We start from the raw sequence: 27,167 nt of genomic DNA, 5'->3' as shown, positions 1-27,167 counted from the left end.
CTTGAGGCCAGGAGTTTGAGGCTGCAATGAGCTATGATTGTATCACTGCACTCCATCCAGGGCAACAGAGTGAGACCCTGTCCCTAAAAAAATAAAAATAAATCATGTTCTTAATAAACTTGCCTCATAATATTATTGTGAGGATATAATAAGCAAATAAATTTTGTCATAGAACCTAATATACAAGGCTTAGTAAATTATTTGTTATGATTACCATTTATTTATTCACTCAGCAAGTATTTATGGAGAAACTATTTGTGCCAAAAATTAAAGTCTCTGCTTCATAGAACTAATATTCTAATTGTGGCAAGGAAAATAATAACTAGATAAAAAATAAACAAGGTAATATCAGATAATTTGAAACTCCATGCAGAGAACAGAGAGAGTAAAAAGCTACCTTAGATTTGGTTGTAATGGAAGTCCTCTCTGAGGAGGGTATTTTAAAGCTGAGATCTGAGTGACAAGGGGAAACCAACCATAAAAAGGCCAAGGGAAATAAGCATTCCTGGCAAAAGGCACAGCTAGAACACAGATTGCAGGCAGGAATACCTTTGCACAGTTAAGAAACAGGAAGGCCAAGGTGGCCATTGAGTCATGCTAAGAGCAGTAGCAGGGCAACTTGCCATCAGAGACATAAATAAGGACCATATCATGTAGGTCCAGGTAGAAAGTTTGGTTTATTCTAGAAGCCACGGAAGCCATTAGTGGCAAAATTTAATTCTAAGGGATTTATTCTGATAAAATCCTTAAGTATAGTTTCCTGCAGATGAACTCAATGTACCGCTTTAGAGTCTTACCTAAATTAAAGACTCATCAGTTTTCAGGCTCACCAAAACTCCACATTGGCTTTCATCTTAACAAAATGTGGGTCTAGATTGCTCATTATACTAATTAGGATACAGAGCAATTCAAATAATTTGGGGAAACAGCCACTGATTATGGTTTTCTTTATTTCACATTTTGAAAAAAAAAGACTAACAAGATAGGTTTTGTTAGCACATTGGTGAATTTTGATTCCACAGGGAGCATACATGGACCAAGTGTAGATTGCCAGGCTTCTAAGATGCATTAATGGGGACAGAAGGAAATGGTTTCCTGACATATAGTAGTGCACATGTAAGACTAGTCTTGGACTCTTCTGTTTTAACTTACAGTTTAAAATATTGTTTTGGCATTGATTAACTAGAAGACTCCTTCCTTTATGGCAAACTGTATCCTTCTCTAAGCCAATGGTCTTATAACCAGAAACCAGGATTTTCCTGGAGTCCACATACAGTCAGAAGAGTTCAATTTACATCCAGGCTTCTCCTTTATGTAGGATTTTATTCTTTTGCCTTTGAATTAAAAATTTCTGACTTATGCAGTTCCTCTCAGCCAGAAAAAGGTCATATCATGTAAGAATAGTATTTTAAGTTATAATAATTTCATCACTGAGTATCTCCTGGGTTTTTTTTCAGATATGAATGCAGCACAAGCAGAACACATTCTGAACAGCTGTAAGTTCAAGAATATCACTAAGATGTTTACAAATCAAAGAACAAAACTCAACACATTTAGCATTTCTCTTTCCCCATGTTTACTCTTTCTCAAAAGTATATAATATCTCTAGATGGATATGTGATTTGATTGCCCTCAGAGGGAAAAATTACTAATCATAATTGAGAAATCTATATGTAGTCCTTGAAAATTTTTGCTCTTCCTCACAGAAAGTTTCGCTAATGTCTTCTTTAACAATTTTCTTTTATTTCATTGTATTTATTTTTATTTGGCCTCCTTTGTTAAAGTAGTAAATTTTGCTTAGGGTTAAATGACACCCAAAAACTTTAATATAGAAACTTTGACATTTATGCTATATTAGTATTTTGGTTGTAATGCTAGACATGTATTTTAAAAGACTATATACGTTATTTTCTGCAATAAATAGTGTACACTTGGCATTCAAAATATATTATTAGGGTAAACTGCTGCACATAAGAACATGACCCCAAAAAATGTGAAAAGCCAAATTTTAAAATGATGTTGTTTTAAATTCACCAGAGAGAGTGTTAAATAATTTTTAAAACGTTAATACTTATTTAAAGTGTGAATAATCACATTTTATCAATGTGCATTACCATTACTTTATTTAACATTAATTTCAATAATTTTTTTAGGGTAAGACACATTTGTAGATATTTCTGTCCTTAACTATGTGCCAAACATATCTACATATGTTTATAACTCTGGAATTAGCCATCTTATTCCCTTCTCACAGGTTGTGGTTTAGGGAAGGAGTTTCCATCCACCAAAAGAATTGCTGATGGTCGGATTGCAAGAAAAGGTGATTGGCCTGGCAAGCTAGCCTGCAGGTGGAGGGGATCCATTTGTGTGGTGCATCTTTGATCAGTGAAGAGTGGCTCCTGACAGCGGGTCACTGTTTTGACTTGTGAGTTCCCAGTCTATACCCATGGGATCACCAGCTTCACCTCTTTTTCATCTCTTCACATCCTATAGTTCTCTCTTTTACATTTCCTTTATAAACATCTTAGGCTCCAGCCTGGCCAACATAGTGACACCCGTCTCTACTAAAAATACAAAAATTAGCTGGACTTGGTGGCACGTGCCCATAGTCCCAGCTACTCATGAGGCTGAGACAGGAGAATCACTTGAACCCGGGCGGCAGAAGTTGCAGTGAGCTGAGATCACACCATCACACTTCAGCCTGAGTGACAGAGTGATACTCCATCTCAAAAAACAAACAAACAAACAAACACCCAAAGAAGAAAACATCTTAGGCCTCCCGGTGCCACTTATGATTGTCCAGCAGGCTTAGGAATAAAAGACAGTTAACTGAAGAAGAGCAGAAAAAATTAGAAAGAGTATCTTCAGTTCCACCTGAAAATATACACTCCAACAATCTCAATTTTAAGTAGGAACAAGCCAGCATTGTGAAAAATTATACACACTCACCAGTTCTCCTGAGAGATATTTTAGATTAAAAAAAAAACTCTGTTAATAGTATTCTAAACTATAGGTTATATCTGGTGATCCCACATGAATACCTTTGGTGCTGTGCTTTTATTCTTTGTATATTTTTCGACAATTTAACATATAGAACACTTGGAAATAATAAAGAGATACAGTAACCCTAGTAAAATTTATATAAAATGGGAGAATATTCTGGATAAGATGCTAAATAAAAAGAAAGCATAAGGAAACAATATAAATATATAAAATATCGCTCCAATTTTACCTCTCTTTCTCTTTATAACTATACATACATTTATATGATTGTGCCTTGATATGAGTGTATATGTGAATCTACGTGTATATATGTCTACTTTATAATTATTTGTTTTCTTAAATTAATTTGTATTATTTTTATAGTCAAAAATGGCAATAATATAGGATAATGTGGAATAATATAAAAATACAAGCTTCCCTCAAGGACAGTAATTTAAGCTACCTTGGAATGGCGGTTTGTTAGCAAGTAGATGAAAGCAAAGCAGTCTTAGGAGAGAAGCCTCAGATAAGAAGGTGGGATGGTCCCAATCAATTATTACCTTAAAAAATTTGCCCTTCTCCCACATTTATGTCCCCTGCCCATCCACAGTCCTGGGCAAATTTAAATTAGAAATGAACCAACTGTATTCCTTTTACTCTGTGATCAGTGAAGAAAAACCCAAACTCTGGATGGCTAGTTTTGGAATAACCCGAATCCCTCACTAATGAGAAGAAAGGGGGAGTCAATTATTATTCATGAGAACTATGCTGCCCATAAACACGAGGATGATATCGCTGTAGTGAAGCTCTTCACCCCCATCATATTTTCCAATGAGGTGCACAGAGTCTGTCTTCCAGAAGCTACTTTTGAAGCCTTGCCTAAGAGTAAAGTGTTTGTCACTGGATGGGGAGCACTTAAATTAGATGGTGAGTATCTCAGTAAAACAACAAAGCAAAAAATATAAACCTATCCTTCATTTGAACAGAGATATGAAATAAAATACAAAATCAAAATAAATAAGAGATGAAATCAGATGTCCCATTATAAATATGGCAAAAACAAACAAATAAGAAACAGATGTGGTGAATTTCAAAAACTTTAGCACCATTACTATTACACGGTACCTATATTTATTGTCTTTATATGGACTATTTTGGAAACTGGTTAGAGCTTTATTTTCCAAATTTATTAAAGCATATTTTTACATCATTTTTTCTTTCAAATGCTTTCTTTCATATGTGTAGTTTCTGCTATGGCTGCTTGATTCATAAAGTGTATAATTTGCAAGCACTAGTAATGATAAGCTTTTGCAATGCATCATGCAACTAAACAGAAAGAGCCTTAAATGAATAAACTGAATGATTATTCTTTACCTGGCCCTAAATATTAAATGGGATCCCTCTGATCCGTGTATCTATGGAGCTGTTCTTCAACCTGAAACTTTATAAATTTGACAATAAACTACAAACATAGATGTTTAGATCCTGATATGACTTTCCCATTTTTATGTCTATTGGTTGACTTTTTACATATGAGAGTTTAATCTGCCCTCAAATTTCTAATTTTTGTTTCAAGCTCTTATTATGAAGTCATATGAGTCTAATCAGTTAATTTTTATAGAAGTCGGCTTCCCTCCAATATACACTCTAAAATTCTGATGTTGAGTCTAGGTGGATGCACTATCGTTATAATCTCAGATTATATAATCAAATTTTCCTCATCTCTGAGGGATCTGCATTGTTCTATAGGAAATGGTGATGAGTATAAAGGGGAATTAAATCCTTTAAGACTTAAAGCCACTTCCTGATAAAAGTAGAAAAGGAAAACATCTACTACTTGAGTAGCACCATTACGCTTACCTCTATAATCTTAACTAAACTTAACACCTCCTACTCCCAGAGCTTGGGAGTGATTTGCTACTTCATCATGAATCATTCAAAGCCCAATAGTGTGCAGAATACTGTGCAATGAGCTGTCTACTCTCATAAGTTGAATACATTTCACAATAACATTGTGGGTTTGTAAGGCATCAAAGTAAATTAATAGATATTTGATTGTATTTTTTTATTTTCCTGCACTTTGAAATGGAGACAAGGACCTACTAAGGTTCTCTTCTCCTACCTCCCAAGATTTAGCCAATCATATCTAATTAGAAATCTTGTTACCACAAAAAAGAGAACAACAGACACTGGGGCCTAATTGAGGGTGGAGGGTGGGAGGAGGGAGAGGAGCAGAAAAAACAACTATTGGGTACCAGCCTTAATATTTGGGGGATGAAATAACCTATACAACAAACCCTGAAACACTAGTTTATCCCTGAATCTAAAATAAGTTTTTTTAAAAAAGAAAAGAAATCTTGTTACCAGACAGCTTGCAAAACAGAAATATTCTACGCTCTGGACAGTTTCTTCTTTAAATAATTGGTAATGTAAAGTATTTTGTTACATTGTCGAGCACTTGAATTTATTTTTTTAAGCTGAGACTAAAAGATTGTAAGCATTTGAAAATTGAGACTAAGCATTTTAGACCAATTAGCTAAAATGAAAATTTGCACACAGAAATTACAAATAGGAAATATAATTGATTAAAACTTGAGAATATCTTAAAAATGTTAATGACATTATACACAACAAAATAGATAGTATTGAATATTGCTAAGGCATTTACTCAAATAAATAGATTGCATAAAATCTATATAAAGAGCAGTTGGTGAGCAGACTGCTTCACTGGGAACATTTCAAGCAGAATCAGAGATAAAAGAGAAAATGGCCATACAATGACCCTTTTAAAGATGATGACTGAGATGGAAAAATTCACAAGACCCTACAAAATCTTTAATGACTGTAGAGAATCTGGACTTAGTTTCTCAGCAAGACTGGCAATCTTAGGTGAGTGAATTTACTCATTTTAAAACAATTAGTTTTCTTGACAGCGAATGGCCAAATCCCCAGAAACCTAGATCTCTCCTTATAAAAGCTCTAACTTTCTCTCCATCCAACGTAAACCTTAAAGTGCAGCTTTAAGACCCTGAGGATCTTAAGTATATACCCTAATCTCTACAATTTAGTCTAATAGCATCTATTTTTTAAGAACTGAATATGAGGCAAGCTACTGTCATAACTGATTATATTCATTGTTTTTAACTTATAAACGTCTGAGCAAGGCATTATTTTCTTCTTTTCACAGGTGAGTTAAATGATGCTTAGCGACTTTCCCAAAGTCACATATAGCTTGTAAATTGTGCAAATAGTGTTCAAACTTATATCTGCTCCTTCTAAATTCAAGGCCCTTAAGCACATAATTACGCTAATTCATCGCTCAAATCAGTACTACTGCCCTCCCTTATCCTCTCAATTCTTTGACCCTGTTGTAAACAAAGCATCCGTCTTTATATGAAAGATTAGTACAGTCTTTAAAATAGAAGTTGCTCCTATTTTAAAGAAATGAGAAGAATATAATAGTTAAAACAATGTTACATGCAATCAATAAGTGTGTGGTTAGTTAATAAAATATAAGCTACCTTTATGTGTTACTTACTCTGGTATTTGTTTTGGATAGCAAGTGAAGCTATTATCAGAGTAAGCGTGGTTTTTCCTATGAAGTGATAGCATTGCATCTGTATTAAAGTTAAATCTGGTAGTACAGTAGTGTTCTATGCTGCTTTTCCTCAGGATTCACGGTTCCCAAAATAGCTGTGTCCTTTGTAAAGTAATGAAGATTTCCAAGTAAGGTTAAGGTAAGCTGTAGCATATTCTCCCAGGTGGTAAGAAATATTCTGGTTTTACAAAGATCACATCAAGTTAAAAAGCTTCTAACATTATTCCTTAACTGTGTGATCATGATAAGACTCCTAACCAGGTAAGCTTTAGTTTCCTCAACTGAAAAAGAGAATATTTATGTCTTTCTTTGGTGGCTGCTGCAAGGATTAAATAAGGTAGCAGAAGTAAACAAACCAAATATGGTACCTAGTAAATAGAAGCCACCCAATAAATGTAACTTGATTCTGAGCACTGTCATTCAGTCCAGAATCTTACAACTTCAAGACTTAGGTTTTATCACTGGTCCATTCTTTGTAAGACACAATTAACTATCATGGCAGCAATGTAGAAGTTCTTCATCTATTTATTTTTTCTTTCTTTCAGGTCCCTTTCCCAATATGCTACGGGAAGTTGAGGTAGAGATCATAAGTAATGATATATGTAATCAAGTTCATGTGTATGTATCATCAGGAATGATATGTGCTGGATTCTTGTCAGGAAAACTAGATGCCTGTAAGGTAAGAATAGGTTCAAATCCACAAAAATGACTGTTTAGTAGGAATGGCCTTACTGACTGTAGAACAATATCACTTCACATGACTGCATGAAATTAACCTGTGGAGGAGATTGTAAAATGAGGGAGTGGAATAATCATAAGACATAATTCTCATTTAACACCCTATTGAGGAGAACTATCCCCAAATCATGGTCACCAGCTACAAATTAGGACTCTCATTAGAGAAACATACTGGAAGCGGATAGTAGAAACCAAGTCAGTAAGCCATACAATCATTGCTTCAAGCCACAATCATAACAACAGTTAGGTATCTAATCACTACTAATTGCAAGGCACTGCAAGATGGGACCTGCAGCTACATCTATGGCCAGTGAAGCAGCGTCCCACAGGTCCCACAGGTCCCACAGGTACCTAAATACTTCCAGACATAATTATGCTATTAGAAACAAAACAAAAAAGTACATATTTATCTACATTTGTTCTTAGTAAAGTGTTACCTCACAGATCACATTTAGAAACTAATTAAATAAATAATATAAGCATTAAACATTTTAGGAGAATATAAGTTTTAAATTCTGGCTATGTAAAGGACTAAAAATAAGCCAATAAAATAATAAAAGTTTTAACTTGTAGCATTTGAAACTGGGAACAGTTTAGTGATTTTTTGAAGAATTAAGAATGGCTTTGAGAATTTGATATATATGTGCACTTTTCTTATATGCAAAGGCGCCGCTGTTGAGCTGCCATTGGCTGTCTGTCATGTGATGGTAATAAATATTCACTTATTCATTCCACTTTTTGTCAACTGCAAGATACTGTAGCAGTTACTGAAGGAAACATAAGCATTTGTTAAAATCACAATGAATCCACAATGAATTTACAATCTAATAATATAGCACACAAATAATTAAAACAAACAAATGAAAGGCGAGGGTTTGGCTACATGTTCTAGAATACATGGTCTCCCTCCACTCACTTCCCTTCATGGGGGAAGGAGAAGTAATGTGGGTGGTCCAAGATATAACTAGATCACATGGTTTAAAAGAGAAACACAAATAAATCTATGTAAAAGCAGATCTCTCTTTCCACTGGTTCATATACCCTTGCTTCCTTTCGCTGCTAGCATAGTAAAATACCAAGGACCTAAATTAGGATATGGGCCTAAGGAAAAGGAACTAAGGAGGACTTCTTTTGGTAGACCAAGGTTTTCACACTCTGTCCACCGACACTGTAGGAGATCAAGAAGTATGTCAAGAAAATGGAAGGGAAGGGAGCTAAAGGCAAGGCACAAGACTCTAGAAGCCCATGTCTTCTTCAAACAGAATTTTTTCTCTTGTTTAAAGACTCTATAATGACTTCCACATAGTGTTCTTTTGAATGAATAGGTACATTGTTAAAAGATCAATTTAAAATCATTTGTCTAAACCAAGGTTTAAAGATAAGAGGGAAGTCCTCATGACTTTAGACCAGTCCACTAGGGCTAGGGATTCCACCTTAGTTTGGGAGCAGAATATTTTCAGCAATAAATAGCGCATATTTGCATGGTGTGCCCTTTGCATATGTTGCTCCTCTCAAACCTACTGAGACATAGTGATATGATATCCAGGACACTTTCCTGTCAATTAATGTGAGTGGAACAAGATGAGATTCAAATTCACAGCCAGAGACTCCCTCTAGCTAACAGAAACAATGATGCAAGAGACACTAGGCATGAATCTGGGAGAGGCTTATGGACGAGATGACTTGTTTGTTGAGTCTTGAAGTTATCATTTATGTAAGACATAGAACATAGTCCTGTGTCTTAGTTAAGCTTTCCTAGTCTCATGCCTAGTGTCACAGAATTTAGTTTTGCTCTGTCTAAACTAACACTAAAAATTTTAGACAGCAAAACTAAAAATTTTACAAGGATAAACCTGAAATCTTAGCTTTATTCACATTACCTTCTACCTGAAGGCATTAACAGGGAGTAAGTAATAAGCTCAATTATCATATTAACACTAATGGTAAGTAAAATAGAATGATTTTACATATTTCAATCCAAAGTGTTAGTTTATTAGACATTCAGATGCCAACTAACCCATTTCTGACATCCCTTTATTTATTACATTGACCGTATTGTTTTCTTCTTCTTTTCCAGGGTGATTCTGGAGGTCCTCTGGTTATTGCACGTGATAGAAATGCCTGGTACCTTGTTGGAATAGTAAGCTGGGGAATAGACTGTGGAAAATAAAACAAGCCAGGACTTTATACCGAAGTGACTCATTATTGGGACTGGATTAAATCTAAAACTAACATCTAATGCAACAATCATCTCAAATCCAAATTATAAATGTCATGTGTGGTCTCTAGAAAAAGTGTGTTTAGCGTGTGCCACCATGTGTATTATCATCAAGTTCAAAATCCAAAAAAGTGTGATCTGATGACTTTCCCCTTAAACATGAAGAAGGCAGGCTTGCTTTCACATCATCTGAAGTGTTTTGCTCCTGTGAGCACAGAAGATATTTCAACTACACAAAGATCTACCATTGCTGCTAAGTGTCTCTGATTTATTCATTTTTCTTTTCCTAAGACATACAATATTCCTTTCAGAGTGAGCCAGCAGTTTAATCAGATAAGTACCAATTGGCTAAGCATTCTCTACTTTTTCGCTGAAATGGCACACTTCCTGTACCTGATGGCTCCACAGCTTTAGTCTCTCTTGTCAAATATTCCCCATTAAGAATGTGTGGGTTCACTGGACTAGATAAGTCAAGGTTATTAATTTTCACCAACATTAACACAAATGATGGAAGGGACACTAGGCATGAAACTAGGACTTAAGAGATGACACTACTGTGAATCTATTCCCCTTTGCCCTGAGATGTGCATTTAACTTTTCTTAGAAACTTGAAAAAGATTGACATTTATATTTACACTCAGTAATGTATATTTTAGTCTCTTTAAACAATTACACTGATGTTTATTTTGGAGCAATTAATCCCTGGATCAGGCAGCAAGAGAACTGGCAATATTGCTTTGTACAGGATTCTGCTCTGAACTATGTAAAAATGCCTTTATGTACTCATAAATTAAAGGCAGCCTTTTTGGCATTTTTAAGTTGAAAGGAAAAAAGGCAAGGATTCAATGAGAAAGAGCTACTTTCAGTTTCATCTTTAAAATGAGAGACGTTTCAATCTTTGTGTAAACTTTTCACTTTTTAAATTATCTTAATGTATTATTTAAACAATTTTCAACAAACTTCAGAACAGTTAAGGGATCTGCAGAATGGGAAATCAATATAAATTAGATACTTATAAACAACTTACATGAGAAGCCATTATAAAATTAGACATTCACAAACAATTTGATAAGATTTTGGTAAAGACCTTATTGTGTAATATTTACATTTACTAGAAAAAGGTGGCCAGCATTTTTTTTGCAGATTACTATTTATAGAAAATATTTAGATATTCAAGAAAACATCTTTTGAATTGCTTAATTATTATGTTAAAGTCATTTTTATATGTATTTAATTGCATATTTTGTACATGATTGTGGACTAGTATTTAACAAAACTCACACTTACTCTGAGTGTCTAAACCTTTATTCCCACCTCCCTTTTAAAATTAATTTAGTTAGTGAGATAATTGCTGTGCTAACATCTTTTGAGGGGTTTTGAGTCTCTCTTGCTCCACATAATAGGATATTGTGTATGTTTATATATATATATATATATGTATATATATATATATATATATGGCAACAAACTCAAATTCATCTGTTTGAGTCATCACTACAATGCAGGATTTCTCAATCTCAGTGCTATTGACATTTTGTCACAGTTAATTCTTTATTGGGGGAGGGGAAGGGATTGTCCTATGTATTGTGATATTATCAACATTCATTAACTCTACATACTAGGTTCCAGTAGTACTCCCCTACCAAGTTGCAACCCAAAAGTTACTGCAGACATTGCCAAATGTCCCTAGGGGAGCAAAATCACCCCCAGTTAAGAAATACTGCTATGGGATCAATAGTAATAGGAAAAAAAAAATCACTGTTAAAAACCATGCGCTCACAATTTCCTTACATGAGTTTGGAAAATTTTTTCTTCTCTCTCTTTTGTAATACTGATGCATTGAAAACGCTAGGGAAAAAAAAGCCTAGTATGACCACACTCATATTTATACCATCCTAGCCAAATTAGGATCATCTGGAAACTGATCTTCCTGATTAGAGAAAGTTAGAGAAAGAAGACTGTTTGAAGGCTGAGCTCCTACAGGCAAATATACATGAATATATAGGGAGTTATCTGTCAAATGCCTAAATCTTGAATAATTGCACCAAGTGTTCTCTGTTTAATATCTTCAGAATGCGTAGACAGACACTATTCAAAAAGGGGGCTTATGTATTCAGCTTTCAGCCCATCATCATCCATTAACACTTAACAGTGGAGCATACAGAATTGCATAACATCACTAAGCACTAAAAGCTACACTATCCAATGTGCGAGCCACTAGCCAGATGAAGCTATTTAGATTAAAATAAAATAAAATAAAATGTATTTCCTCATACGGATCACATTTTGTCATTACTGTCATACTAATCACATTTTAAGCACAAAATAGTCACATGGGCTTAGTGGCTTCTATTTTGGGCAGCACAGATATAGAACATTTCCATCATTAAAAAAAAGTTGTATTGGACATCACTGACCTAAAATATTCAAGGCGCCGACTTACCTAATTACTTATTCATCCAACAAGCATTTCTTAAACCTCTATGTGTCAGATACTGAGTATTCTAGCCGTTGAATATACAATCGTATGTAAGTCTCCTTTCTCAAAACCACATAAAGTGTTTTTGATAGCTGCTGTCTAAAGTAGCATACTCTTTTGGGCCTGTGTTTGGCCAAGCATAGCATTATTTTTAGACCCTTCTTCCTCTAGTGGCGCCAGTCCACTAGTGGAAAAGGGGCCACCAGAGACTCATAGTTGAGGCTGAAATGGTCAGAAACTGGATTTTCAACTGACCTTAGAAAAAGATGAAATAACTTCTCTAATTAATAGGATATTAAAGAATCAAAAAGAGGTTTTGTTGTTTTTTAAATCAAGAGAGTATTTCTTCTAAGCCAGGAAGATATGCTAATGGCAACCAAGGGAGAGTAACAACTGATGGAAGAGCATCAGAATGACTTAGTCACACAGATTAAAAACCACGCAGATTAAAAACCACAGATGACTATTTAAGCAAGCAGCCAACCCAAATACAACAAGAATTGGATTGCATAATCCATTAATGTCATTTTATTGTAGTTAAATCAAGCAAATGTGGAAATAGCAGGTCACTAGGACTCACGTTGTTCAGGAGAAGCAATAAAGTTTGACCAAATGTGTTACAGTGTGCTGCCATCTGCTGGTCCGTGTTATTTATTTATTTATTTATTTTTTAGACGGAGTCTCTCTCTTTCGCCCAGGCCGGACTACAGTGGCGCTATCTCGGCTCACTGCAAGCTCTGCCTCCCGGGTTCATGCCATTCTCCTGCCTCAGCCTCCTGAGTAGCTGGGATTACAGGCGCCCGCCACCGCGCCCCGCTAATTTTTTGTATTTTTAGTAGAGATGGGGTTTCACCTTGTTAGCCAAGATGGTTTCGATCTCCTGATCTCGTGATCCGCCCGCCTCGGCATCCCAAAGTGCTGGGATTACAGGCGTGAGCCACCGCGCCCGGCCCCTGGTCCATGTTATTTTAAAAATATATTTTATTTTACAGTTCACCCTTGAACAACATGGATTTGAACTGCACTGGACCTGTATTAGTCTGTTCTCATGCTCCAATAAAGACATACCCCAGACTGGGTAATTTATAAAGGAAAGAGGTTTAATGGACTCACAGTTCCACATGGCTGGGGGCCTCAAAATCATGGTGGAAGGCAAGGAGGAACAAAGGCACGTGTTACATGGTGGCAGGCTAGAGAGCTTGTGCAGGGGAACTGCCCTTTATAAAACCATCAGGTCTCATGAGACTTATTCGCTACCATGAGAACAGCATGGAAAAGATCTGCCCCCATGATTCAATTACTTCCCACTGGGTCCATCCACGACACGTGGGTATTATAGGAACTACAATTCAAGATGAGATTTGGGTGGGGACAGAGCCAAACCATATCAGGGCTACTTATATGTGGATTTTTTTCCACAGCTGGCACCCCTGAGACAGTAAGACCAATCCCTTCTCTTCTTCCTCCTCCTCAGCCTGCTCAATGGGAAGACAATGAGAAGGAAGACCTTTATGATGATCCACTTCCACATAATGAATAGTAAATATATTGTTTCTTCCTTAAGATTTTAATAACATTTTCTTTTCTCTTATTGTATTGTGAGAATACAGTATATAATACACATAACATAAAATATATATGTCAGTCAACTCTTTGTCTTATCAAAAAGGCTTCCATTCAACAGTAGGCTATGCATAGTTAAGTTTTGAGAGAGTCGCGAGTTATACATGAATTTTTGACTATGTGGGGCCATCAACCCTAACCCCCATGTTGTCCAAGGGTCAACTGTAATTCAAGCTACAAAGTTATGTGAGCTATTTCCCAACAAAGAAAATTCTAACAATCTCTCCCTGATTTTCTCCTAAGCAAATCAAAGTTTAAACTTCTATATATCCGTTTACATTATTTACATTTATACAAACATGAATAAATATATCTATTCACTAATGAAGGACTTATTAAATAAATAAATATATATCTTCACTAACAAATGATTTATACACTTTTCATTTCAAAAATAAGATCATTTGGTAAGTACATACATATGCACACACACATAGGCTTTCATGTCTATAAAAATGGTGTACTAGCATAGGACACTTGTTCCTTTCTCCAAATCAACCCTAGACACACTACAGATGAAAGAAGTAAACCTGGATTCTAGGCCAGAACTAGGAGACTGGAGCTAACTTGAACTAGATAGAGTGTGTAGGGAGGTAGGTGGCTGAAGTCTAGAGTAGAATGAGAGGATAGTTAAGAGAAAGGCTTTTTAAGTTTTTCTCTTACATCTCCCAACACCATGTTTTGCCCTACATTGCTTTGAGACAATGTTTACCTTCTTATCATACCAGAAATTAGTCTTAGCAATTCAGACCACCAATTTTGAAAGGACAGGAGAAAAAGCCTGCTGAGGAGAGAAGTTTCTGGAAAAGGTAGCACTAATTAGCTGCTTTCAGGTACTGTCTTCTCACCTTACCCTCCACATCTCCAGGGCTGTTGCATTAAAATTAAAAGAACCTTCTTCCTTCTAGTGCTGCTTCACTCTTAAGAATTTGTCAGTGAAATTCCCACTGGAAAAGTCAACTGATAGAAAGTCAATGAGTGAGAATGATCAATAATAGGTTTTGTGGGCTCTGGGACTCTCTACCCTAGGATTCATCCCCAATCTGTTCCTTAAATTCACTTTGACTGACACAAGTAAACACCTGCCCTTTGACCCTTCCATAGCCCATGCTGCCTGATAAAGCAGCTGATGCTCCTGGAGAAACATGAAATCATAGTCTAAAATAAATAAACTCCAAATGGTACAACTTCTTCAGAAGAAAGACAATAGACAAGAAAACATATAGCCTCTGAAACAGAAGCATTAGTATAAACAAAGGATGTAAAATACATATTATATCAGTATTTAAAGATATAAGGGAAGATATGAGCTATTTGTCATTGCTCACATTAATCATCTGAAACAAGAAGAAGCATGCATAAAAACAGAATGAAAATATTAGACATGGAAAATATAAGAGTTGAAATACAAAAGCACAGTTGATTAGATAGATAATAGGATAGTTATGACGGAAAAATAAATTGATGAATTGCAAGTTCAAATTGAAGAACTCTCTCAGAAAGGAAGAAGGGAAGGATAAAAATATAAAAATAAATTTTAAAAAATTAGAGATATGAAAGATAGAGAAGTAGAGATGCCAATATCCCAATTACAAGATTCTCAAATGCAGAAAAAAATTAAAAATTGAGATGAGGAAATATTTTAAAAACTAATGAAGATAAGATTTTAATAATAAAAGAAAATTTTAAAACTGTATATAAAAAAGGCTTATAGAGTTCCAAATAGAAGAAATAAGGAAAAACCCATACCTTGATATGTTAAAGTGGATTTTAAATTAAAAACATTATAAAAGCTACCAGAGAGAAAAAGCAGTTCACCTATAAAGAAACAAGAAGCATAGGACATCAGTTTTCTCAGCAGCAATACTGGATATGAGATGTCACTGAAGTAATATTTTTAAAGTATTAAAGGAAAGGAACTATATACCTAGAATCTCAAATCCAGGACATAATTGGGCCCCATAAATCTTCACACTTAACAGGAGCTATAATGATGCTATATGTCTCCGGTATCAGTATCAACTCAGATCCTGTTTCTAATAGTTTTTGAAATATCTGGGTATTCCCTTTGCCTTTTGTATAGTCACCCAGTAAGTAAAAAGTTATAGGTCCCTTTGGAGAAGCACTTAGGGAATCATCACTGTATATAATTATCATGGTGTAACAGGGTTCTTCCTCCTAGGGACTTGGCCACCTCTTCAGCCAATGGATTCTGGATCTGAAAATTGCCTCAAGTCTAAGAACTAAGAAAGGGATCATGGCTTTCTATTGGGGTGATCACCTAGAGCCTCCTGATCTTCCATTTTTGCATTTTTTCTTCTTTGGTTGTAGATGTTAATCAGCATGCTGGCTAGCTGCCTGTTTATTTTCCCCTAAAAACACCATACTTTTTGAACTGTCTCCACAATTCTTTGTGGGAAAAACTTCCATAGCTGTCCCTCCAACCTTGCCATTTGTTAAAGCTCACTGTGGGTTCCTGGCTTTGGCAGTTTAGCACTGACACTTTGCATCTATTACTTCAGGATTCCATCATCCCTATGGACAATCTCAGGACTGTAGGTGCTTCCCTTATTGCAGCCTCCATCTGCAACGAGAGCCATCATTGAACTTCTTAGTTATTCTCAAGCTCCTCTCACCAGCTCATTTGTAGTGACTTTCATAAATGATATGTCCTCTGGGCTTCCTGATGAAACACATGCCCTGGTGGGTCTTCTGGCCTCACATAATATATCCATTTTGACATGCCCACTTCCCTCAGCCTCTTTATTTCTTTCTCCGCTGTCTTCTAAGGCAACTGGGACACTTCATCTGTATTCAATCCTGGATATGGCTTCTTCCAGGATGCTAAGAGCCACCCTAGCAGGTTTGCTCCTTGGGTTTTTGCTAGGTTGTCAAATTCCATGTCTTGAGAAAGTGCTCCTAAGTCAATGAATTCTTACTTATCCAGTCTTTCATTCACCCCTCCATGATCAACCACCCTCAAAACCTAATGTCAGGAGCCAATAGATACGCACCAGTTCTTACAGTTCTTTAGTACATAGTCTCTTTTTCTATCTTTTCAAGCCCAGCATGTTACTAGCTGAGCCATTGGCCTGGTTGTCAGTTGAGGAGGTAAGAATATCTCTTGAGGAGCACCTGTTGCCTTGTGGGTGAAACAGCTCTATAGCATCTTTCAGCAGGGGAGAAGAGCTGGCTCTTACTAAGGAGACAGTGATTACTTCTATAAACTCTGAGGTTTCAGGGAGTCTGCAGAACCAACATCCCGAAAGACATCAATCCAGTTGACCCATCTTATATTTCAAGTTCCTGGGTTTTCCCAATTAGGACCCTGACCAAAGCATAGCCGATCAGCTTTGACTAAGCATTCAAACTCTGGGTATCTAACTATTAGATCTTTAGCCTGCTGCTTGGCTGTGTCTACTCTTCCTCTGCATGAAATAAAAGCTTTTTTGTAACTGGTTCTCATGCTTAGCCTTTAACATATTTTAAATGGCCTTCAGTTTCTCCTTATCCCTATGTAGGACAACAATGCAATTTAACAGTAACTAGCCAACTCCAATATCTTTGTAAGAGGCATTCTTCCCTCCTATCTTTCAGCTGTCTGAACTATTACCTGCAATGGTGTCCCCTCTATCAGGAAGCACCAAAAAGTTTTCCCGGGCTACTGCTGGTGAAATCTTTAACAATGCACCTGCCACCTTATGCCTGGGATTATCTGTGCCCTGCAGCCATTCAGCATGGCATCCTCTGCCCAACACACACTGAGGTGAGCTAATCAGTTCCAGATTTTCTAAGACCACTCTATCAGACCTCAAGATGGAATCTGAGGTGCAAGATAATTATTAAGGAAAACATATGTGAAGAAAAAAGTATGCTTGTTGGAAGAGTCATAAAGACACTTCAGAATGCCATGCAGCTCTGATCCTTGTGTAGTACAGAAGGACGTAAAAACAGTTGGGTAGGAAGAGTTCCACATTGCAGTGCAGTTTTAAGAAGATTTGGCCAAGCCTTTGGGGAGTCCTTACGTCAAAGTTACTCATCAAAGGAATTCCACATCTCCCAGAAATGGGCTTACCTTAAAAACCCTCCTGTGCTTAGTCACAGGCTGGGAGGAGCTCATGGGAAATGTGGCTGCAGTGTGAGTGCAGCTTTGGGCTCAAAGCACAGCAGTTGAGCCACCTGTCAATAATATTCTAAGAGACACATTTTCAGGATCACCACAACAATAGAACCTTACCTAAAACTATGCACAAAGGCAGACTCCAAAAATGGATTAGAGACCTAAGTAAGAAGGGAAAAACTGATCATGTTAATATTAAAAAAGGAAGAATATCTTTGCAACATAGGATAAGGAATAGATTGTTACAGCAAAACATAGAAAGTATTAAATGTAAGGCAAAAATAAGACATATTTGACTATTTCTGTTATGCAACTAACAAACTAACATTAAGGATAGAATTGAGGAAGATACTTAAAATATCTAAAACTGACAATGTACTGATATCTACAATATACAAAATAACCTTGCAAATCAACTAGGAAAACAGTAATCTCAGTAGAAACAGGAGTAAAGCACATGAAAAGGAAATTTACAAAAACAAAAAGCTAGCAAGCATATAAAAATGCTCAAATAACTAGTATTCAGAGAAATATAATTAAAACAAAACTAAGGCATCACTTTATACCTAATAAACCAAGGGAGTAAGTTGAGTGTAGGCAAGGATGTGGAACCTTCACAGAATGCTAGTAGTAGCAGTACATTTTAGTCGAATTACACAAACGTATGCTCTATGACCCAGGAATTCTGCAACACCCAATATCATGTACTAAGTCACTTTCAGATTGTATTCCAGTACATTTTCTTCAGATTAGACTAGAATCAATGATGTATCTTTGTATTTAATTGTTGAAGGAAGAAGAGAGGTTTCCTCACCCTGAATAAACATCTCAAGGTTGTTGGAGTAGGGAGTAAAGAATTACCTTAGCATTCTTTCCAAAATATCCAACATAATTTCATTTCTCAGAGTTGTAGGCAATATAAACAGACAGGTTTTGAACACTAAACTTTTAATGTAAATAAATCTCATATTTATAATAAATACTTGTAACTAACTGCACTAACTGGCACTCACAGAGATCCAGGAGTTTTGCATGTTCCATACCCAGGAATTATGGCAAGGTGAGAGATCCACACATGCATTCCCCTAGGAAGGGGTGAATACAGGGAGCCAAGTGGCATGGTTCTGCAGGCCCCACTCCCACGGCACCTCACAAGTTAAGACCCACTGGCTTGGAATTCGAGCTGGCCAGCAGCAGCCAGCTGGAGACTGCCTGAGATGGACTATTCCCCTGCAGATCGTGGCCAGACAGATTCTTTAAGAGGGACTGGGAACCATCCCTCCTTACTGTGCGGGGCCTCCCTGTGGGAATTTCAGCAACTCCAGCCAGGTTTATATGTACAGAACTCTGAGGTCTCTCTGAAATGGAGCCCCAGGGGAAGGTCAGCTGCCATCTCTGTGGTTCAGCTGACTTCAACTTTCCAGGCTGCCAGCTCTGGAGAGGCTAGGCAGTTAGTGCAGCAAACCTGCTCTGCCAAGGAGCAGCCAGACTGTTTCTTTAAGCAGGTCTCTGATCTATTTCCTCCTGACTCGGTGAGACCTCCCAACATGGGTCTCCAGACACCTCCAACAGGAGCATTCAGCTGGCATCAGGTTGGTGCCCCCCTCGGATGGAGCTGCCAGAGGAAGGAGCAGTCTTCAATCTTTGCTCTTTTGCAGCCTTTACTAGTGATACCTTCAGGTGTGGGAGGGACCAAGGCAACTAGGGTCTGGAGTATATAAAAATACAAAAATTAGCTGGGCATGGTGGCACGTGCCTGTAGTCCCAGCTACTCAGGAGGCTGAGGTAGGAGAATTGCTTGAACTGGGGAGGCAGAGGTTGCAGTGAGCCGAGATTGTGCCACTGCACTCCACACTGGTGACAGAGTGAGACTCCATCTCCAAAAAAAACCCAAAACCCAAAACCCAAAAACCAAACAAACAGAAAGCAACAACAACAATATCAACAGAAAAGATCTCACAAAAATTCTATTTAATGGTCAGCAACCTCAAAGATCGAAGGTAGATAAGCCCACAAAGATGAGAAAAATATGACACAAAAATGCTGAAAACTAAAAAAGCCAGAGTGCTGCTTCTCCTCCAGATGACCACAACACTTCTACAGCAAGGGCACAGAAATGGGCTGAGGCTAAGATGGCTAAATTGACAGAAGTAGTCTTCAGAAGGTGAGTAATAACCAACTTCACTTAGCTAAAGGAGCATGTTCTAACCCAATGCAAAGAAGCTAAGAATAATAATAAAATAATACAGGAGGTGATAACAAAAATAGCCACTTTAAAAAGGAACATAATGAACCTGATGGACACAATACATGAACTACACTATGCAATCACAAGTTTCAGTGGCAGAATGACAAAGTTGAGGAAAGAATCTCAGAGCTTGAAGACTAGCTTTCTGAGATAAGACAGGCAGACAAGAATAGAGAAAAAAGAATGAAAAGAAATAAACAAAAACTGCAAAAAATAAGGGATTATGTAAAACAAAGGACTGAACCTACAACTAATTGGGGTACCTGAAAGAGACAGGGAGAACAGAACCAAGTGGGCAAACATACTTCAGGATATCATCTAGGAGAACTTCCCCAACCTAGAAGGACAGGCCAACATTCAAATTCAGGAAAGCCAGAGAACCCCAGTAAGATATTCGATGAGAAGATCAACCCAAGACACAATCATCAGATTCACCAAGGTCGAAATGAAAGAAAAAATGTTAAGTGCAGCCAGAAAGAAAGGCCAGGTCACCTAAAAAGGGAAGTCCATCAGACTAACGGCGGACCTCTGAGCAGAAACCCTGTAAGCCGGGAGAGATTGGAGACCAATATTCAACAGTATTAAAGAAAAAAAATCCAACCCAGAATTTCATGTCCTGCTAAACTAAGCTTCATAAGCGAAGGAGAAGTAGAATTCTTTTCAGGCAAGCAAACATTGAGGGAATTCATCACCATTAGGCCTTCCTGGCAAAAGCTCCAGAAGAAAGCACTAAATATGGAAAGGAAAAACCATGACCAGCCACTACAAAAACACATTGAACTACACAGACCAGTGACACTGTGAAATAACCACATACACAAGTCTGCAAAATAAACAGCTAACATCATGATGACAGGATAAAATTCACAAATAACAACATTAACCTTAAATGTAAACGGGCTAAATGCCCCATTTAAAAGACACAGAATGGCAAGCTGGATAGAGTCAAGAAAAAGCAGTATGCTCTCTTCAAGAGACCCATCTCACATGCAAAGACACACATAGACTCAAAATAAAGGGATGAAGGAAAATTTACCAAACAAATGGAAAATAGAAAAAAGCAGGGGTTTCAATCCCAGTTTCTGACAAAACAGACTTTAAGCCAACAAAGATCAGAAAAGACAAAGGACATTACGTAATGGTAAAGGATTCAATTCAACAAGAAGAGCTAACTATCCTAAATATATATGCACCCAAAATAGGAGCACCCAGATTCATAAAGCAAATCCTTAGAGACCTACAAAGAGACTTAGACTCCCACACAATAATAGTAGAGTTTATCACCCCACTGACAACATTAGACAGATAATTGAGACAGAAAATTAACAAAGATATTCAGGACCTGAACTCAGCGCTGGGTCAAGTGAACCTGATAGATATCTACAGAACTCTCCACACACACACACACACACACACACACACACACACACACACACACACAAAACCAGAATATACATTCATCTAATCACCACATGGCACTTACACTAAAATTGATCACATAATCAGAAGTAAAGCACTCCTCAGCAAATGAAAAATAAATGAAATCATAACAGTCTCTCAGACCACAGCACAATCAAATGAAAGCTCGAGATTAAGAAACTCACTCAAAACCTCACAATTATATGAAAATTGAACAATCTGCTCCTGAATGACTCCTAGATAAATAATGAAATTAAGGCAGAAATCAAGAAGTTCTTTGAAACCTTTGAGTACCAAGTCACAACATACCAGAATCTCTGGGACACAGTTAAAGCAGTGTTAAGAGGGAAATTTATAACACTAAAATATCCACATCAAAAACCTAGAAAGATCTTAAATCAACAACCTAACATCACGACTAAAAGAAATAGAGAATCAGCCATGTGTATTTGCTCACACCTGTAATCCCTGCACTTTGGGAGGCCAAGGCAGGCAAACCACTTGAGGTCAGGAGTTGGAGACCATGTTTTCACCAATACAGTGAAACCCCATCTGTACTAAAAATTAAAACAAAAAAATTTAGCTGTGTTTGGTGGCATGCACCTGTAATTCCAGCTACTCGGGAGGCTGAGGCAGGAAAATCACTTTAACCTGGGAGGCAGAGGTTGCAGTGAGCAGAGATTGTGCCACTGCACTCCAGCCTGAGTGACAGAGTAAGACTCCATCTCAATAAAAAAAAAAAAAATAGAGAACCAAGAGCAAACAATCCCAAAGCTAACAGAAGATAAGAAATAACCAAGATCAGAGCAAAACTGAAGGCAATAGAGACACAAAGAAAACCCACAAAAAAATCAGTAAGTCCAGGGGCTGTGTTTTTGAAAAAAATAATAAAATAGATCACTAGCTAGACCAATAAAGAAGAAAAGAGAGAATAATCAAATAGACACAATCAGAAATGATAAGGGGGATATTACCACTGACCCTTAGAAATATGACCATCAGAGAATACTATAAATATCTCTATGGACATAAACTACAAACTCCAGAAGAAATGAATAAATTCCTGGACACATACACCCTCCTAAGACTGAATCAGGAAGAAGTTGAGTCACTGAATAGACTAGTAATGAGTTCTGAAATTCAGGCAGTAAGAAATAGCCTGCCAACCAAAAAAAAGCCCAGAACCAGACAGGTTCACAGCTGAATTCCACCAGAGGTAAAAAGAAGAGCTGGTACCAATTCTACTGAAACTATTCTAAAAGCCCAGCATCATCCTGATACCAAAGGCTTCACTTTTTTTGATACCCCAAAAAAGAAAATTTCAGGCCAATATCCCTGATGAACATAGGTACAAAAATCATCAATAAAATACTGGCAAACTGAATCCAGTATCACATCAAAAAGTTTATCCACCATGATCAAGTTCATTTCATCCCCGGGATGCAAGGGAGTTTCAACATGCACAAATCAATCAATGTGATTCAACACATAAACAGAAATAAAGACAAAAAAGGAACACACCTCAAAATAATAACAGCAATTTATGACAAACCCACAGCCAATATCATACTGAATGGGCAAAAGCTGGAAGGATTCCCTTTGAAAACCAGCACAAGACAAGTATGCCCTCTCTCACTACTCCTATTCAACATAGTATTGGAAGTTCTGGCCAGGGCAATCAGACAAGAGAAAGAAATAAAGGATACTCAAATAGGAAGAGAGGAAGTCAAATTATCTTTGTCTGCAGATGACATGACCCTGTATCTATAAAACCCCATTGTCTCAGCCCAAAAGCTTCTTCTGCTGATAAGCAACTTCGGCAAAGTCTCAGGACACAAAATCAATGTGCAAAAATCTCTGTACACCAACAACAGGCAATCAGAGAGCCAAATCATGAATGTACTCTCATTCACAATTGCTACAAAAAGAATAAAATACCTAGGAATACAGCTAACAAGGGAAATGAAGGACCTCTTCAAGGAGAACTACAAACTACTACTCAAAGAAATTGGAGAGGACACAAACAAACGGAAAAACTTGGGGAAAGAAAGAATCCATGTTCATGGATAGGAAGAATCAATATTGTGAAAATGGCCATACTGCCCAAAGTAATTTATACATTCAATTCTATTCCCATTAAATTACCATTGACATTTCTCACAGAAATAGAAAAAAACTATTTTAAAATTCATATGGAACAAAAAAAGCCCAAATAGCCAAGACAATCCTAAGCAAAAGGAACAAAGCTGGAGGCATTATGTTACCCGATTTCAAACTATACCAGATGGCTACAGTAACCAAAACAGCATGGTATTTGTACAAAAATAGACACATAGACTGATGGAACAGAATAGAGATTTCAGAAATAAGACTGCACATCTACAACAATCTGATCTTCGACAAGCCTAACAAAAACCAGCAATGAGTAAAGGATTCTCTACTTAATATATTGTGCTGGGAGAACTGGCTAGTCACATGCAAAAAATTGAAACTGGACCCCTTCCTTACACCATAAACAAAAATTAACTCAAGATGGACTAAAGACTTAAATGGAAGATCCAAAACTGTAAAAATCCTAGAAGAAAAATATAGGCAATACCATTCAAGACATAAGCACGGGCAAAGATTTCATGATGAAAATGCCAAAAGCGATTGCAACAAAAGCAAAGACTGACAAATAGCATCTACTTGAACTAAAGAGCTTCTGTACAGCAAAAGAAACTATTATCAGAGCTAACAGACAACCTACAGAATGGGAGAAAATTTTTGCAATCTATCTAGCTGACGAAGGTCTAATATCCAGAGTCTACAAGGAACTTAAACAAATGTACAAGGAAAAAAACAAACAACTCCTTAAAAAGTGAGTAAAGGACATGAACACAATTCTCAAAAGAAGACATACATGCAGCCAACAAACACATGAAAAAAAGCTCAACATCAGTGATCATTAGAGAAAAGCAAATCAAAACCACAATGAGATACCATCTCATGCCAGTCAGAATGGCTGTTATTAAAAAGTCAAGAAACAACAGATACTGGTGAGGTTGCAGAGAAAAAGGAATGCTTTTACACTGTTGGTTGGAGTGTAAATTGATTCAACCATTGTGGAAGACAGTGTGGCAATTCGTCAAAGATCTAGAGGCAGAAATGCAATTTGACCCATCAATCCCATTACTGGGTATATACCCAAAGGAATATAAATCATTCTATTACAAAGGTACACATACATGTATGTTCATTGCAGCACTATTCACAATAGCAAAGACACAGAATCAACCCAAATGCCTATTAAATATAGAGTGGAGAAAGAAAATGTGGTACATATACACCATGGAATACTATGCAGCCATAAAAAGGAATAATGTCATGTCCTTTGCAGGAACAATGATGGAGTTGGAAGCCATATTCATAGCAAATTAATGCAGGAACACAAAACCAAACACTGCATGTTCTCACTTATAAGTGGGAGCTGAATGATGAGAACACATGGACACACATAAGGGGAAACAACACACTTGGACCTGTTGGACGGTGGGGCATGGGAGGAGGGAAGAATAGCTAATGGATTCTGGGCTTAATACCTAGGCAATTGGTTGTTCTGTGCAGCAAACCAGTATCGCACATGTTTACCTATGAAACAAACCTGCATATCTTGCACATCTACCCCTGAACTTAAAAGTTGAAGAAAAAAAGTTTTATTTTATTTTTTAATCGACAAAAAAGAAACTCATTTCAAATATAGCTACATAGATAAGTTGAAAATAAAAGGATGGAAAAAGATAAATCATAAAAACTATTTTAAAAAGGAATAGCTGTATTGTTATCAGAACATGTAAATTTTAAAACAAAGAAACTTACTAGGGCCAAAGAGGCACATACGTACTTCTAAAAGGATCAATCCACCAATAATATTTAGCAATTCTACATGTTCATACACCAAACAACAGAGCTTCAAAATATATGAAGCAAAAACTGAGAGAAGTAAAAGGAGATAAAGAAAAATGTACAATGTAGTTGGCAAGTTCAACATCCTCTGATTTCAATAATTGATAGAATTACCTGGCAGAAAATCAGCAAGGATACAGATCTAAACAACACTATCAACCAATAGGGTCCAATTGACATTTATAAAACACTTCACTCAACAGCAAGATACACTTTTTTTTTTCAAGCACACATGTAACAGTTCTCAAGATAAACATATTCTGGATAATTATCCTCAACATATTTAAAAGAATTAAAATCATACAAAGTAGGTGCTCTGTCTGTAATGGAGTAAAACTGGGAACCCATTATAGAAAGATAAAGGGAAAAATCAATACTTTAAGTTTCTACTACAAGAAACAAGCAAATGAGAGCAAAATAAACATTAAGTAGGAGTAGGAAGGAAATAATAAAGAGCAAAATTAATCAAGATAAAAACCTCAGTTAATAAATTTGCAAACAAAGAAACAACAGAAAAAAACTAGTGACAAAAAAACTGTTTAAGAGAAAATCAATAATATTGATAAACTTCTGGGAAGACTGACAAAGATTAAAATAGAGAAGATTGAAATCACCAGGATCAGGAATGAAATGATGGAATATTACAAAAGAGCTAGCAGCCCTCAAATGTTAATTAAGGAATACCAGAAATGAGTTTACATTAATAAATTTAACAACTTAGAAGAGATGGACAAATTCCTTGAAAACCACAAACTACCAAAACTCAGCAAAGATAATATAGATAATTTAAATATTCCTACTAAATAAATTGAATTAATAATTAAAATTCTATTAAAAAACATTCAGGCATGAATGGTTTCACTGGTGAATTTTTCAAAATATTCAAATAATTAACACCAATTTTACATGACCCCTTCCAAAAAAAAAAAAAAAAAAACAGATGAAAGGGAAACATTTTCTAATTCATTTGATGAAGACAGTATTATCCTGATACTAAAACCAGAGCAACAAAAATAGGAAGCAGCAGACAAATATCTCTCATTAGTTTAGACACAAAATTCTAAACAAAACTTTAGCCAATTGAATCCAATAGTATATAAAAAGAAGAATACACCATGATGAAATGGAATTTATTCCAGGTATTCAAGGAGGTTTCAATATTTGAAAATCAATTAATGTAATACACCATATTAACAAGCTAAAGAAGAAAAAACATATAATCATGTCAATTGACACAGAAAATGCTTCAACAAAATTTGACATCAATCACACCCACTAGATTGTCTATAATCCCAGATACTTCAGAGGCTGAGGCAGAAGAATCACTTGAACCTGGGAAGTGGAGGCCGCAGTGAGATGATATTATGTCACTGTACTCCAGCCTGGGGGATGGAAGGAGACCCTGTCTCAAAAAAAAAAAAAAAAAAAAAAAATTCACATGCAACCAAAAAAGAGCCCAAATAGCCAAAACAATCCTAAGCAAAAGGAACAAAGCTGGACGCATTATGCTACCTGACTTCAAACTATAGTACGTGGCTACAGTAACCAAAACAGCATGGTATTGGTAAAAAACAGACACACCAATGGAACAGAATAGAGAACTCAGAAATAAGACTGCATGCTTACAAAGATCTGACCTTCAACAAACCTGACAAAAACAAGCAATGGGGAAAGGATTCCCTATTTAATAAGTGGTGCTGGGAGAACTGGCTAACCATATGCAGAAAATTGAAACTGGCCCCTTCCTTGCACCTTATACAAAAATTAATTCAAGATGGATTAAAGATTTAAATGTTA

At 36.5% G+C, this 27,167-nt stretch overlaps 1 pseudogene across 1 annotated transcript; it reads left to right on the top strand.

Annotated features, from left to right (window-relative positions):
- Nucleotides 1-3,801: 3,801 nt before the first annotated feature.
- TMPRSS11GP (transmembrane serine protease 11G, pseudogene) lies at nucleotides 3,802-9,429 on the top strand (annotated as a pseudogene). The gene is made up of 4 exons (NR_033737.2): nucleotides 3,802-3,909; nucleotides 6,655-6,719; nucleotides 7,126-7,259; nucleotides 9,396-9,429. The product of NR_033737.2 is annotated as a transmembrane serine protease 11G, pseudogene (transcript).
- The last annotated feature ends 17,738 nt before the right edge of the window (nucleotides 9,430-27,167 follow it).

The sequence above is a fragment of the Homo sapiens genome, chromosome 4, assembly GCF_000001405.40.
Source record: "Homo sapiens chromosome 4, GRCh38.p14 Primary Assembly".
Lineage (NCBI taxonomy): Eukaryota > Metazoa > Chordata > Mammalia > Primates > Hominidae > Homo > Homo sapiens.
Note: the sequence above shows the minus strand (reverse complement) of the source record. Positions and strands in the feature narration are given on the sequence as shown.